Raw genomic sequence first — 16,704 nt, forward strand, 5'->3', positions numbered from 1 at the left:
CCCGATTTCTAGTTGCTTTGTACCTTGGGTGTCTGGGCTAGAATCAGTCAGTGGGAAAGAAGCAAAATAGCTCCTGACCTTCTCTAAGACCAAGTTTATCCTGTTTTCAATAGCAAAGCATGCATCCATGAGATATTGATGATTTTTGCCAGTCCAACCCATTTATCTTATATTAACTAAATTTTCTCCCCGATTCTGCCCTGGCAACACTTAATGATTGATCCTAGTAATTTTTTTTTATTTTGTAGATTGTATGTGTGTGTGTGTGTGCGCGCGCGCGCGCGTACGCTGTGTGCATGCACGCTCATGGTAACACATATTTTTTACTATTTCCGAGTCACCTTAAGTACTTTAGTGACAAGTGGGGAGAAGCTACAGAAGGAACAATTAATACCACTGCACTTAAAATGGGAATCCCTAAAGCAACAAATAATAAGATTTTAAGGATAGTATGTGTGAACATTTCAATACATAAAATATATCTTACAATTAAGACAATAAAAATATTATATATAAGAAACAGCTTTACTCTAAATGCTTCATCTGTAGGCTTTTTCAGAAAGTTATCAACATAATGATCATCTGAATTGTAGTAACCCAGATGTTGATCTGTTACTTTTTCACCTATTTCTTCATTTTCCCTATGCCAATATCCAGTTAGCTCTTCTGTATTTTCAGTGTTCATTTAGAAGAGAAGGGAAGGGTTCACATTATTCATGCTTTGGAGATTAATGATATAGTCAATCATCTGAAATTCACATGGATCATTACTGCCTTCACATTAATTTATGCTCAATTAACATTCTTAGAATCAGTTTTCTGTGGAGTTTAGCCAATTGGCTTTATAGCTTCTGGCTCTGCAAGGTTCATTTTGCTCTGATCACTAGTAATAGGAGTAGCTACAGTCCTCCTTCCTGTCATTAAAGTCTTCAGGGCTTTGGTTTTGCTCATAAATTGAATGGGGCCAGCACGTGATGCGATGTTGTCACAGAGTTCCTGGATAACAGCCACATTGCTACATCCTGGCAACTGTCCTCCATGCAGATGTGATGCTCAGCCGAGCAGCAGGGTCACAGGTGTACCTTTGTGCTGGTGTATTGGAAAGGTCACCGGCGGAAGGCCATGTTACACTCAGAGGGATGGGAAGACGTATTGTTCGTACTTGAATACTGTTCTTCTAGGAGAAGGGCGGGAATCAGCAGGCCGCCTTTTCCTGTAGTGAAAATCAGCAGGAACATGGCTTTTTCCATATTGGACCTAGAAGTAATGTTTTAGGAATCATTGACAGTGTGCTTAGGGGTCTATTAAACATAGGAGAACATGCAATCCTTTTTTGTCCAATGTTTAGGTGAAAAGTGAATTTATAATAATGAACATTGAAAGTATTATGAATTAATTCACTTGGACTGCTGTCATGGTTGTGGAACTAAATAAACTTCTGTTCCTGTGTATTTTTCCACATCCTAGTTAAAAATCTAAAGCTTTTTTCTGTTTTTTTTTTTTAATTAAGGCATATAAGACATCTTTCTTTCTCTCTCTCATTCTCTTTCCCTCCCTTTCTCTCCCTTTCCTTTCCTTTCCTTTCCTTTTTCCTTTTTTCTTTCCTTTCCTTTCGACTTCAGGCTAAGAGAATTTCAATAAATGGTTTTACAGGTTGAGTATCTCTTATTTGAAATGCTTGGGATAAGAAGTGTCTCAGACTTCAGGTTTTTGGGGGGTTTGGGAATGTGTGCATATGCATAAAGAGATATCTTGGGGTTCGGATCCAAGTCTAAACACAATATTTATGTTTTATATACACCTATACACATAGCCTGAAGGTAATTTTATACCATATTTTTAGTAATTTTGTTCACAAAACAATGTTTTGACTGCATTTTGACTATGACTCATCACATGAAGTCAGTGTGGAATTTTCTACTTGTGGCATCATGTTGGCACTCAAAAAGTTTCAGATTTTGAGCATTTTGAACTTCAGATCTTCAGATTAAAGCTGCTCAACTTGTCTTAAAAGAAATGGCCTTTGAATGTAGATCAACTAGGAATTTAGTAATTTACTCAGATAAATCAGTAAAAAGAAAGGGAGTAAGGCTAAAAAAATATAAAAACTAAACAAGAAGGGGTATGATTTTTACTGAAGGTTTTGCTAGTCCCTGCCCCCCCGCCCCCGCCCCACACACACACCCAGGTCATATTGATTTGTCACCTGTCAGTGTCTGCTCCAATGTAAAACACACACTATTTTAATATATTTTCTCTCAAATTTAGTGTTACTGTTTTCATGTCAGGGATAACATTCTAAGCTGGAAGACTAAGAATTAAGACATATACTATGGTGATCCCAATAGCAAAATTACTTGGTGTGCTGTTCTAGAGAACGCTGAATATTTATCAGAAAGAGCCCAGGGAAATTTAGAAGTCCTTGTTTCAGGCTCTGTGTTCAGCCCAGAAAATTTGGTACAAGGAAAACCACAGAAAGAACTACTACTTTTTCCACTCTTACTTTGGCCCAAGGCATTGTTGTACGTGCCTTTTAAACATATGGGGTAGGCACTGTATTATCTCCCTTTCATAGATGTGTAACTGGAGGCACATAAAGGCAAATACATGCTCCAGATGACAAAGGTAATAGTGGCAAGCAGAGACTGGGGCCTCCATTTGCCCAATCCAGAGCCTGCCCATTCGCCACAGTGCTATATGGCCTTCAAGAGAAATGAGCCAGATGCTTTGTGAGGGGCGGAATTTCTAAACTCAGTTCTGGACTACTTTGAATAAAACTAGGACAGAATTATCTAGTGAGTCAGACAAATAACCCGTAAGACCCATTCGGCCTTCTCCAATAAAGGATCCAAGAGTTCTTTTGTGACAAAGCATGACTCTTATCTGTGACAGCAACCTGAAAAAAATAGGTTATGGCAACCACTTATTTCATGCACCGTCATTGACTGTCATTATTCCCTCACTCATCGTGACTGGCAGACTCCACAGAAACGCAGGGAGATGACAGAACATATTTGTTGAAAAATTAGTAAGCAAAAATGGTGAAAGTTAGAGAAAACTGAAGAACCTGGAGGATAAGTATGCAATATAAGCTCAAAAGAGTAGTCAAGGTAAAACCAGTAAAGAGAATAAAAACTAGATGATATATTTGCAGAAAAATGAGATTTTGTTTTAATTCACTAAAACTCATAATATATATTGAGTGTTTCCACTGTGTCAGGCACCACTAAGCTTAGTACTAAGAACAAGTAAATGAACACATAATCCTTACCCCCAAAGAATTTGTAACCAAATAGTTGATATACAGAAACATAACTGACTGTACCAAGATGGGAGCAGCATTTTTTTGAGAATCCAAGAAAGGGAGTAAAGATACCTGGAAGACTGAAGATGGTGTGGACCTTAATGTGTTTCTTTCATCTAATTCCAGAGATTTTTGGTTTTTGTACAGGGTAAAACATGAAGCTTGACACCAGTATGGTATGAAGTTCTCGACCCAGTTAGATGCTTGGGAAGGTGGCATTTTTGTTTGACCTATGTACATACAACTGAGAATACACTGTAGAATTTTACTAGCTTGTTTTTCAAGCAGTAGATACATTTATTTTATATACCCTCATAATATGAATATAAATTTCTAAAGCAGATAAAAGGACTAATTTATTTAAAATGAATTGAATCAATGAACCCAATCAATAAGACACAGTGTAATACTTTATTAACCACCAAAAATGGAAATCCTGGTTTATGGATGACACAGGCCTTAAGACAATTATTGGTTTTTTGTGTTCAATATTGAGGAAATCATAATTCACAACACTACCCTCAAACCCAGAAGACTAAATTAAGTTGTTCTAAAACATGAAAATAAAGTAAGAAAGAAAAGTTTAATTAAATAATTTAACTTGAAATATTACCAATAACTACTAACTGTTCACATTTCTTTTCATGAATATAAAAATCAGACAAGAAGCACTTAAGCGTAAAAGTAGCATTAGACTTTTTCTAGTGTGATATTACTATTAAATCATATATTCTGTATTTTCATATAACTATTGACTTTGTGCCATGAACTTGCTGCTAGCTTATAGATCCCTGAGACCCTTTCTCAGTATTTAATTGCATGCATGGGTTACTAAAGTTCACCTAATAGTACCATTTTGTTAGGTACAGCTAATTTTTTTTCTACTTTTAAATATACATTAATTATAATTTTTAAAATTATGCACTGAGTACTGTGGGAGAACATACTGAGGTCTACACAAGAAAATAATAATAATCCATATAGCAATAGTTAACATATTAGTAATTTGGAAATTAACATTGGCATAAAATACACGAGTCCATATTGTTGTTTTTTATTAAACTATAAAAATATTTATACCTGTGAAGTTAAATTTAAAAAATACAAGTTTGTAGACCCACTAATGCACTTGATATATTATGGGGATAAAACTTCTTCCTGCTAGAGTCAAAATGGCTAAAATGAATTCCTTTATCAGTAAATATTATTGGAAGGTGAAGAGATATTCTTTGAAAATTTGAAGAAAGAAGTATTAGGACAAGTTATTCAGTGTGGAAGGTGTTCTGTAAAGCTGGTAAAGAAAATAGATGTTTCTGAGTGCCCTTTTTCAGTTGCTGTAAAGAAAGAGAAGCCTAGGAACGTCCTTGTTTTAATTATCATCTATATATTCATGATTCCCAAATGTGTATTTCCATTTCTGACTTCTGTGATCAAGAACAGATTATTGAGTCTGCAGCTCCCAGCATGAGCGATGCAGGATGGGTGATTTCTGCATTTCCAACTGAGGTACCAGGTTCATCTCACTGGGGTTCATCGGACAGTGGGGGCAGGACAGTGGGTGCAGCCCACTGAGTGTGAGCCGAAGCAGGGTGAGGCATCACTTCACCTGGGAAGCACAAGGGGTCAGGGAATTCCCTTTCCTAGCCAAGGGAAGGGGTGACAAACTGCACCTGGAAAATCGGGTCACTCCCACTCTAATACTGCTCTTTTCCAATGGTCTTAGCAAATGGCACACCAGGAGGTTATATCCCGCGCCTGTCTCGGAGGGTCCCACACCCACGGAGCCTCAATCATTGCTAGCACATCAGTCTGAGATCCAACTGCAAGGCGGCAGTGAGGCTGGGGGAGGGGCTCCCACCATTCCTGAGGCTTGTGTAGGTAAATAAAGTGGCCAGGAAGCTAGAACTGGGCAGAGCCCACTGCAGCTCAAGGAGGCCTGCCTGCCTCTGTAGACTCCACCTCTGGGGACAGGGCATAGCCAAACAAAAGGCAGCAGAAATCTCTGAATCTCTGCAGACTTAAATGTCCCTGTCTGACAGCTTTGAAGAGAGTAGTGTTTCTCCCAGCATGCAGCTTGAGATCTGAGAATGGACAGACTGCCTCCTCAAGTGGGTCCCTGACTCCCAAGTAGCCTAACTGGGAGGCACCTCCAAGTAGGGGCAGACTGACACCTCACACGGCTGGGTACCCCTGGGAGATGAAGCTTCCAGAGGAACGATCACGCAGCAACATTTGCTGTTATATTCGCTGTTCTGCAGCCTCTGCTGCTGATACCCAGGCAAACAGGGTCTGGAGTGGACCTCTGGCAAACTCCAGCAGACCTGCAGCTGAGGGTCTGACTGTTAGAAGGAAAACTAACAAACAGAAAGGACATCCACACCAAAACCCCATCTGTACGTCACCATCATCAAAGACCAAAGGTAGATAAAACCACAAAGATGGGGAAAAAACAAAGCAGAAAAGCTGAAAATTCTAAAAATCAGAGCACCTCTCCCCCTCCAAAGGAATGCAGCTACTCGCCAGCAATGGAACAAAGCTGGACGGAGAATGACTTTGATGAGTTGAGAGAAGTCTTCAGACGATCCAACTTCTCCAAGCTAAAGGAGGAAGTTCAAACCCAATGCAAAGAAGTTAAAAACCTTGAAAAAAGATTAGATGAATGGCTAACTAGAAAAACCAGTGTAGAGAAGTCCTTAAATGACCTGATGGAGCTGAAAACCATGGCACGAGAACTACGTGATGAATGCACAAGCTTCAGTAGTTGATTTGATCAACTGGAAGAAAGGATATCAGTGAAAGAGTAAAAAGAAACGAACAAAGCCTCCAAGAAATATAGGACTCTGTGAAAAGACCAAATCTACGTCTGATTGTTGTCCCTGAAAGTGAGGGGAGAATGGAACCAAGTTGGAAAACACTCTTCAGGATATTACCCAGGAGAACTTCCCCAATCTAGCAAGGCAGGCCAACATTCAAATTCAGGAGATACGGAGGATGCCACAAAGATACTCCTCAAGAAGAGCAACTCCAAGACACATCATTGTCAGATTCACCAAAGTTGAAATGAAGGAAAAAATGTTAAAGGCAGCCAGAGAGAAAGGTCGGGTTACCCACAAAGGGAACCCCATCAGACTAACAGCAGATCTCTCGGCAGAAACTCTACAAGCCAGAAGAGAGTGGGGGCCAATATTCAACATTCTTAAAGAAAAGAATTTTCAACCCAGAATTTCATATCCAGCCAAACTAAGCTTCATAAGTGAAGGAGAAATAAAATGCTTTACAGACAAGCAAATGCTGAGAGATTTTGTCACCACCAGGCCTGCCTTACAAGAGGCTCCTGAAGGAAACACTAAACATGGAAAGGAACAACCAATAACAGCCACTGCAAAAACATGACAAATTGTAAAGACCATCGAGGCTAGGAAGAAACTGCATCAACTAACGAGCAAAATAACCAGCTAACATCATAATGACAGGATCAAATTCACACATAACAATATTAACCTTAAATGTAAATGGGCTAAATTCTCCAATTAAAAGACATAGACTGGCAAATTGGATAAAGAGTCAAGACCCTTCAGTGTGCTGTATTCAGGAGACCCATCTCACATGCAGAGACACACATAGGCTCAAAATAAAGGGCTGGAGGAATATCTACCAAGCAAATGGAAAACAAAAAAAGGCAGGGGTTGCAATCCTAGTCTCTGATAAAACAGACTTTAAACCAACAAAGATCAAAAGAGATAAAGAAGGCCATTACATAATGGTAAAGGAATCAATTCAACAAGAAGACCTAACTATCTTAATATATATGCACCCAATGCAGGAGCACCCAGATTCATAAAGCAAGTTCTTAGAGATCTACAAAGAGACTTAGACTCCCACACAATAATAATGGGAGACTTTAACACCCCACTGTCAACATTAGACAGATCAATGAGACAGAAAGTTAATAAGGATATCCAGGAGTTGAACTCAGCTCTGAACCAAGCAGACCTAATAGACATCTACAGAACTCTCCACCCCAAATCAACAGAATATACATTCTTCTCAACACCACATCACACCTATTCCAAAATTGACCACATAGTTGGAAGTAAAACACTCCTCAGCAAATGTAAAAGAACAGAAATTATAACAAACTGTCTCTCAGACCACAGTGCAATCAAACTAGAACTCAGGATTAAGAAACTCACTCAAAACCGCTCAACTACGTGGAAACTGAACAACCTGCTCTTGAATGACTACTGGGTACATAATGAAATGAAGGCAGAAATAAAGATGTTCTTTGAAACCAATGAGAACAAAGACACAACATACCAGAATCTCTGGGGCACATTCAAAGCAGTGTGTAGAGGGAAATTTATAGCACTAAATGCCCACAAGAGAAAGCAGGAAAGATCTAAAATTGACACCCTAACAACACAATTAAAAGAACTAGAGAAGCAAGAGCAAACACATTCAAAAGCTAGCAGAAGGCAAGAAATAACTAAGATCAGAGAAGAACCGAAGGAGATAGAGACACAAAAAACCCTTCAAAAAATCAATGAATCCAGGATCTGTTTTTTTGAAAAGATCAACAAAATTGATAGACTGCTAGCAAGACTAATAAAAAAGAAAAGAGAGAAGAATCAAATAGACGCAATAAAAAATGATAAAGGGGATATCACCACCGATCCCACAGAAATACAAACTACCATCAGAGAATACTATAAACACCTCTATGTAAATAAACTAGAAAATGTAGAAGAAACAGATAAATTCCTGGACACATACACCCTTCCAAGACTAAACCAGTAAGAAGTTGAATCCCTGAATAGACCAATAACAGGCTCTGAAATTGAGGCAATAATTAATAGCCTACCAACCAAAAAAAGTCCAGAACCAGACAGATTCACAGCAGAATTCTACCAGAGGTACAAGGAGGAGCTGGTACCATTCCTTCTGAAACTATTCCAATCAGTAGGAAAAAAGGGAATCCTCCCTAACTCATTTTAAGAGGCCAGCATCATCCTGATACCAAAGCCTGGCAGAGACACAACAAAAAAAGAGAATTTTAGACCAATATCCCTGATGAACATCGATGCAAAAATCCTCAATAAGATACTGGCAAACTGAATCCAGAAGCACATCAAAAAAGCTTATACACCATGATCAAGTGCACTTCATCCCTGGGATGCAAGCTGCTTCAACATACACAAATCAATAAACATAATCCAGCATATAAACAGAACCAAAGATTAAAAACCACATGATTGTCTCAATAGATGCAGAAAAGGCCTTTGACAAAATTCAACAGCCCTTCATGCTAAAAACTCTCAATAAATTAGGTATTGATGGGACGTATCTCAAAATAATCAGAGGTGTTTATGACAAACCCACAGCCAGTATCATACTGAATGGGCACAAACTGGAAGCATTCCCTTGGAAAACTGGCACAAGACAGGGATGCCCTCTCTCACCAATCCTGTTCAACATAGTGTTGGAAGTTCTGGCCAGGCCAATCAAGCAGGACAAAGAAATAAAGGGTATTCAATTAAGAAAAGAGGAAGTCAAATTGTCCCTGTTTGCAGATGACATGATTGTGTAGTTAGAAATCCCCATCATCTCAACCCAAAATCTCCTTAAGCCGATAAGCAACTTAGCAAAATCTCAGGATGGAAAATCAATGTGCAAAAATCACAAGCATTCTTATACACCAATAACAAACAGAGAGCCAAATCATGAGTGAACTCCCATTCACAATTGATTCAAAGAGAATAAAATACTTAGGAATCCAACTTACAAGGGATGTGAAGGACCTCTTCAAGGAGAACTACAAACCACTGCTCAACGAAATAAAAGAGGATATAAACAAGTGGAAGAACATTCCATGCTCACGGGTGGGAAGAATCAATATCATGAAAATGGCCATACTGCCCAAGGTAATTTACAGAGTCGATGCCATCCCCATCGAGCTACCAATGAGTTTCTTCACAGAATTGGAAAAAACTACTTTAAAGTTCATATGGAAACAAAAAAGAGCCCACATTGCCAAGACAATCCTAAGCCAAAAGAACAAAGCCGGAGGCATCATGCTACCTGACTTCAAACTACACTACAAGGCTACAGTAACCGAAACAGCATGGTACTCGTACCAAAACAGAGACATAGACCAATGGAACAGAACAGAGGCCTCAGAGATAATACCACACATCTACAACCATCTGATCTTTGACAAACCTGACAAAAACAAGAAATGGGGAAAGGATTCCCTATTTAATAAATGGTGCTGGGAAAACTGGCTAGTCATATGTAGAAAGCTGAAACTGATTCCCTTCCTCACACCTTATACAAAAATCAATTCAAGATGGATTAAAGACTTAAATGTTAGACCTAAAACCATAAAAACCCTAGAAGAAAACCTAGGCAATACCATTCAGGACATAGGCATGGGCAAGGACTTCATGTCTAAAACACCAAAAGCAATGGCAACAGAAGCCAAAATTGAGAAATGGGATCTAATTAAACTAAAGAGCTTCTGCAGAGCAAAAGAAACTACCATCAGAGTGAACAGGCAACTTACAGAATGGGAGAAAATTTTTGCAATCTACCCACCTGACAAAGGGCTAATATCCAGAATCTACAAAGAACTCAAACAAATTTACAAGAAAAAAACAAACAACCCCATCAACAAGTGGGTGAAGGATATGAACAGACACTTCTCAAAAGAAGACATTTATGTGGCCAACAGACACATGAAAAAATGTTCATCATCACAGAAATGCAAATCAAAACTACAATGAGATACCATCTCACACCAGTTAGAATGGCGATCGTTAAAAAGTCAGGAAACAACAGGTGCTGGAGAGGATGTGGAGAAATAGGAACACTTTTATACTGTTGGTGGGACTGTAAACTAGTTCAACCATTGCGGAAGACAGTGTGGCGATTCCTCAGGGATCTAGAACTAGAAATACCATTTGACCCAGCCATCCCATTGCTGGATATATACCCAAAGGATTACAAATCATGCTGCTATAAAAACACATGCACACGTATGTTTATTGTGGCACTATTCACAACAGCAAAGACTTGGAACCAATCCAAATGTCCATCAATAATAGACTGGATTAAGAAAATGTGGCGCATATACACCATGGAATACTATGCAGCCATAAAAAAGGATGAGTTCATGTCCTGTGTAGGGGCATGGATGAAGCTGGAAACCATCATTCTCAGCAAACTATTGCAAGAACAAAAAAACAAACACTGCAGGTTCTCACTCATAGGTGGGAATTGAACCATGAGAACACTTGGACACAGGAAGGGGAACATCACACACTGGGGCCTGTTGTGGGGTGGGGGAAGGGGAGAGGGAAAGCATTAGGAGATACACCTAATGTAAGTGATGAGTTAATGGGTGAAGCACTCCAACATGGCACATGTATGCATATGTAACAAACCTGCACATTGTGCACATGTACCCTAGAACTTAAAGAATAATAAAAAATAGTTGAAAATAAAAAGAAAATAGATGTTTCTAACACATCTCAACTTATTTGCTAAATTCTGTTTTAAAATATTGAAATGTAAGTACAGTTTTTTTTCCTGAGCCAATAAAGAAGCATAACAGAGAAAATACGTTTTTCAAAAAATAAATGTTTTTGGTAAAAACAATGTTTTATGGAAAACAATACAAATATAATCTCTGCTGAAAATTAGACTGTGCAAGAATGAACCTCTTCTGTTACAACATTCGTTGGAAAATGATTACGACAATAATTTGTGGCAGAAAATGCGGAAAAGTGATATAGGATGTTATTGATACAGTTAACGTAATTAAAACAAGACTTCTTTGATGATTGTAAAAGAAATTTATGAATTGTTTGTAATAATGCTCAGAATTTTTATGAAAATCTCTTGTACTCAGATATTCACTATTGACCTTCTGGAACTCGTGTGTTGCTAAACTCAAAGATAAGTAACACCTTTTTTAAAAACAACAACAAACAAGTGTTCCAAATTTGCTGACATTTTCTGGGCTGACAGTAGTTTCTCAGTCATATGCTGTTTAGATTAACATTTTAGAACATAGTTACTTAATCTATCCTTTTATAGCAAAAATGTTCTTTGATATTTGACAAATACCTCCTTTTTGTATGTAACTTGTACAAAGTAATGATAATTTTTAATGAATATTTAGAAACATTTCCATCAAATATTTGAGAATTTGATTTTGTAAATACATACACAGTTTTTCTGATCTCCATCTTTCAAATATGTGGAAGCAAACTTTTAATAATTATTTTAGAAGCAAAATTTCTAGGTCTTCCAAATAACTATTTTAGTGAATTTTAAATTAATCTGTTTAACATAACAAATGTAAAACATTTAAATTAGTTAAAAAGAAGACATCAAAGAACATGGAAATCAACCAACCACATTTCAACAAAACCTTTTGTATTATAGTATCAATACTTACTCATTATAGTCAACAAATTAATTATTTCATTTGAATTAATATTTTACAAGGCAGCTGTGTCAATTACATCACACAAGTTGTTTCCCATGCATATAAAAGTAATGTTTAGATTATACTATAGTCAATTAAGTGTGCGATACCATTTTGTCTAATAAAATGTGTATGTATCTTAATTTTAAAAATAATTTATTGTTAAAAATTGCTAACAATCATCTGAGCCTTCAGCGAGTTGTAATCTTTTTGATGATAGAGGGTCTTGCCTCAATGTTGATAGCTGCCTACTGATCAGAGTGGTGGTTGATGCTAATTGGGGTTGCTGTAACAATTTATTAAAAGCAGACAATGATAAAGTTTGCCACATCAATTGATGCTTCCTTTCATGAAAGATTTCTCTGTAGCATGCGATGATGTTTGCTAGTATTTTTCCCATAGCAGAATTTGTTTCAAAACTTTGAATCCTTTCAAACCACATCTCTCCTAAGTTTATGGAATATTCTAAATCATTTGTTGTCATTTCAGCAATGTTCACAGCCTCTTCACCAGGAATGATTTTATCTCAAGAAACCACTTTCTTTGTTCATCTCTAGATTCCACATAATACCTAACACAACGTAAATGCTATGTAAACAGTTGTTATCCTGCATTGTATAGGGAGTAATGGTAAGGAAAAAAAGTCTATCTATGTTCAGTACAGACAGAATATTTTTCCAAATATTTTCAGTATATGGTTGGTTGAATCCATGGATGCTTAACCCATGGATACAAAAGGCCAACTGCTACTGATTTATGCACTCATATTTCTATGTATAATCAAAAGAACAGGAAGTTTGTCACTTATTTTTCTAAAGTCACATTAGACTTCTATCTGGTCTCCTAGACCTGTGGTGAGGCCAACTCATTCTAAAGTCCTTTCATTGAGAGCATATCAGAAAAGCCAGACAGAAAGTTGTATATTGATTATTGTAGATTATCCATTCACTTGGAGCTAAAAGTAGTTATTGCTTATATTTGTTTTAGGCTCCTCAGAAACAGCTTTTAGGTAGACATCATTAACAGTCACATCATTTTTAAATATGAAGGTTTGCAAGCTAAATACAAGGTCCAGAATTAAATGTAGGCAAGAATGAATTCAACACAAGATATGGAGATGCGTAGGGATGAATAACATTGTAAGCCTTTTAAAGCCCTTCTTTATTTCAGTTAATGACCAATGCTTGGGTTTCTAAGTGTATTGAAAAATAAAGAAAGGTTGAGTGGGGCTTATCAACTAAGAAAAACAAGTTCATGCATTGAATTTTGTGCCATCTTAAATGCAAGTGATTATTAAAGCAGCTATGACTGAAAGGCCATACCATCGCATGGCACATGACTGTGATTGAGTCTGCACAGTCTCTGTAGCCCTCCCATTGATTTTCTTCAGTCATCTCACAGTGGATGATTTCTGTTTGGCCTACTACTTGCTAATTATTTATGAATTTCTGCTGTTATTGCTACCATTTGTTTAATGGAATCTACACAGTGGAGAGATTTTGCGCTGTTTATCATAGTACTCTGAATTGTAAATAATGGATTCAGAGAAGAAAAATATCACATGTTTTGAAGTGAGCATATGAACTGCCTCATTTGAAGATACGATTTAATATAATGAAGCAACTGGGAGAATCAAAATGAATCAGAAGTAGATAGATTCAAGTGTGTGTGTGTGTGTGTGTGTGTGTGTGTGTGTGTGTGTGTGAAACAACCAGAAAAGCTTAGAAGATACTTTGGGTGACAGTAATAAGTATATGAGAAGAAACTGTAGCATAAATATAATGGCAGAAAGTTAAATGTTTCTAATATGTCTACCTGGTTGAAATCATAATAGAGATTCCACCTAGTATACTGAATTATATCTCTAAGGGACTACTGCAAAAGATAAGGACAGTTTCTGTCAGAGCAGACAGTCATTTGATGCGATCTTTTCTCTTCTTCCAAAATAACTGCCAAAGGAAAAGTGAAGGGAGCTCACTTCTGGCACTAGCTGATGGTGATATTATCCATGAGAGCTAATCCTGCCAGAAATTTGCTCTGATCCCAATATTCACAGCTATATACTCCTCTGTATCTAATCAAAAGAATTTCCCTTATCAACTCCTTTCTTAGGCACAATGTTTACTGTTCTTTCCAACGTTAAGCATTGAATGTCTCTTTACTACCTTGATGCTCTATCAGATATCATTGCAATTTCTATAATATAATCTCCAACTTCTCACTGTTCACTACCCCTTGATTACATAAACATGTTCAAGTATCTCCTGTCTTAAATGTTACTGTAGAACACAGAAAACCTTCCTTGACTTCATGCTCCCCATCATATAATATTCATCCATTTGTTCTTTTATTCAACAAACTTTGTTTTGCAAACCTATTGTGGTCCAGGTATTGTTCCACAGTATGGAATTATAGACATATAGAACAATAAACATGCAAATATTGCAAGAAAGTGGAAGGTAATTAACAGCAATAAGAAAAATATGATAAATGTTGACAGAAAGGCCAATTAGGTCGTCAGTGAATGAGAATTAATGCTAACAAATTTGTGCTTTCATAACCTGAGGTCAGAGTGCTCCTGGCACTCACTAACTCCATAGATAGTGTCATGACCCCCAACTCCAAAAGGAATTTTGACATATTTGAAAAACAGAAATAAGTCCAGTGTGGGTGAAAGATGTGTGTAATGGGGTACATGAGAAAAGTCAGACAGGAGAGCAGGAGCCAGATCACACAGGACCTTGTAAGGTAGGACCTTAAAGGGTAGGGAATGTTGCTTTTATTTTAAGTAAAAATGGGAAGACATAGAAGGATTTTAAAGAAGAAATGCAGATGACCTAATCAGACCTTTTAGCCATGACTTAGGATGTTTTAGGGGGATGGATACCAAGGAAAGAATAGAAACAGGAAAACCAATTAGAAGACTTCAGAGGTTTTAGGAGACTAGAGATAATATTTATATTATTTTTATTATTAAAGTAAGTATAGACAAGTGAAAGATTTGAAATGTGTTTTAGGTTTAAAATTATCAAGATATCTTGAAGAGCTTGGTATTAAATATAATGGAAATCTAGGAAGTTAAGTATAACCTTAAACTGTTAGTTTGAGTAACTGGGTACATATTAATAACTGTGCTTGTGACGGAGATGCAAAAGTACAGATGAGGAACAAGTGTAAGAAAGAATCAAGAGATGTGTTCACTCATGCTTGCTAAATTTAAGGCAATATAATTCTGGAATTTGAGTGAGTGGTCAGGGCTGGACTTACAAATTTAGAGTAAATATTTAAACCTAAAGATCCCACAATATGAGATTCTGTAGGAAAAGAAAGAAAAAAGAAAGAAAGAAAGAAAGAAAGAAAGAAAGAAAGAAAGAAAGAAAGAAAGAAAGAAAGAAAGAGAAAGAAAGAAGAAAGAAAGAAAGAAAGAAAGAAAGAAAGAAAGAAAGAAAGAAAGAAAGAAAGAAAGAAAGAAAGAGAAAGAAAGAAAGAAAGAAAGAAAGAAAGAAAAAGATCAACAGGCAAAGAGAGCCCAAAGTAGAACTCTGGGACCTACCATATTTATGCGTCCAACAGAGGAGGAAAAGGCAAGCAGCATGAAAAAATTTTAGAAGTGGTATCATAGAAGAGCAGAGTATGGTTAATAGCCAAAACTGTCAATCATGTTGGATGCTGCTAAGAGGACAAGTAAAATAGGGGGTAAGGTGTGGCTGTTGCATTTGGAAAAACAAAGGTCACCGGTGAGCTTGAGAAGAGTAAAATCACGGCAGTAATGGATAGGTAATGTCAGGTAGAGTGAGTACAAAAAAACTGGGAGGGAAGAAGGAGGTGGAGATGGTTATTACAACTCTCTTATTAAATTTTGCTGTGAAGAAAACAGCTTAGTTTATAAAGCTGCTATCTCAATATCAGTATTTTCAATAGAACTTATTGCAACCACTTCCACTAAGACACTTTCGAACAGCCTTTAAATGCATTACTTTCATGAGCTTAAATACTAAATTTTTCTTAACTTTGATTCATTAGGTTTAGATTAGTTTCTATAACACAGAGAAAATTACTAATTTCAAGCTACAAATAGATAAGAAAAATACTGGTTAAAGAAAATATTTAAGTGTGACTTAGTTGTGATATAAAAGCTATTTTCCCCTGAATTTAATGAAAATAGTTAAACTATCATTAGGTAGTTACCCACCACTATTCCAATGTTGATTCATTCAATAATAATTTTGAGCATAAAAATTGAATTTTTATTGTCACCGTAATGTGAAACTTAGGAAAAAAATGATTGAAATATCTGTCTATTCCAAAAATGCTAATCACTAGAGAATTGAAACCTAAAATATCCAATAAAGGCAGTCTCTGTGCTCAATAGTGCCAATTTTGAGCTTCTGCAAAAACTGTAAAATACTGTACATTTTAGTATGGGAATGCTGTACTAAATCTGCTACCCGTTATTTCTATTTCTGATTGTCTTAATTTTCCAGGAATTATTAACATTTGGCTGCATTTTTATAAACTTTAAAAAAGAGGATTTTGGCCATGCAGGTCCTTTTGACTAATGTAAGTCATGCCAATCAGAATAAAAATTGGCTTAGCTTACAGAGTTATTTTATGAAAGAAGCCTTGTAGAACCCTGTGATAAGTCAATTTTTATGACATTCCTTCTAGAATTTAACTACAGAGTGTTCTTTTTTTATTATGGGATACAATTTATATTAATGTCTAGTATCTCTGTCTCTAAATGATAAGGTATGTATTGGAATTAAGCTTTTCAGGACCTATCAAAATTTAAGTGATTTATATAAATAGTATATTTCTTGATGAAGTGATCTATTAAAATCTTAAATTAACTCACTGTCTTCAATAAATGCCTAATAGATGTTCTAAGGAAAGGAACTTTTGGACTGTA

The 16,704-nt window shown here is 36.6% G+C and overlaps 1 protein-coding gene across 2 annotated transcripts in view; it reads left to right on the plus strand.

Annotated features, from left to right (window-relative positions):
- The window catches only part of GPC5 (glypican 5), a 1,468,617-nt gene that overhangs the window by 1,113,360 nt on the left and 338,553 nt on the right, over positions 1 to 16,704 (plus strand). The gene's annotated exons all lie outside the window — the stretch shown is intronic.

This window comes from Homo sapiens, chromosome 13 (genome assembly GCF_000001405.40).
Source record: "Homo sapiens chromosome 13, GRCh38.p14 Primary Assembly".
Classification (NCBI taxonomy): Eukaryota; Metazoa; Chordata; class Mammalia; order Primates; family Hominidae; genus Homo; species Homo sapiens.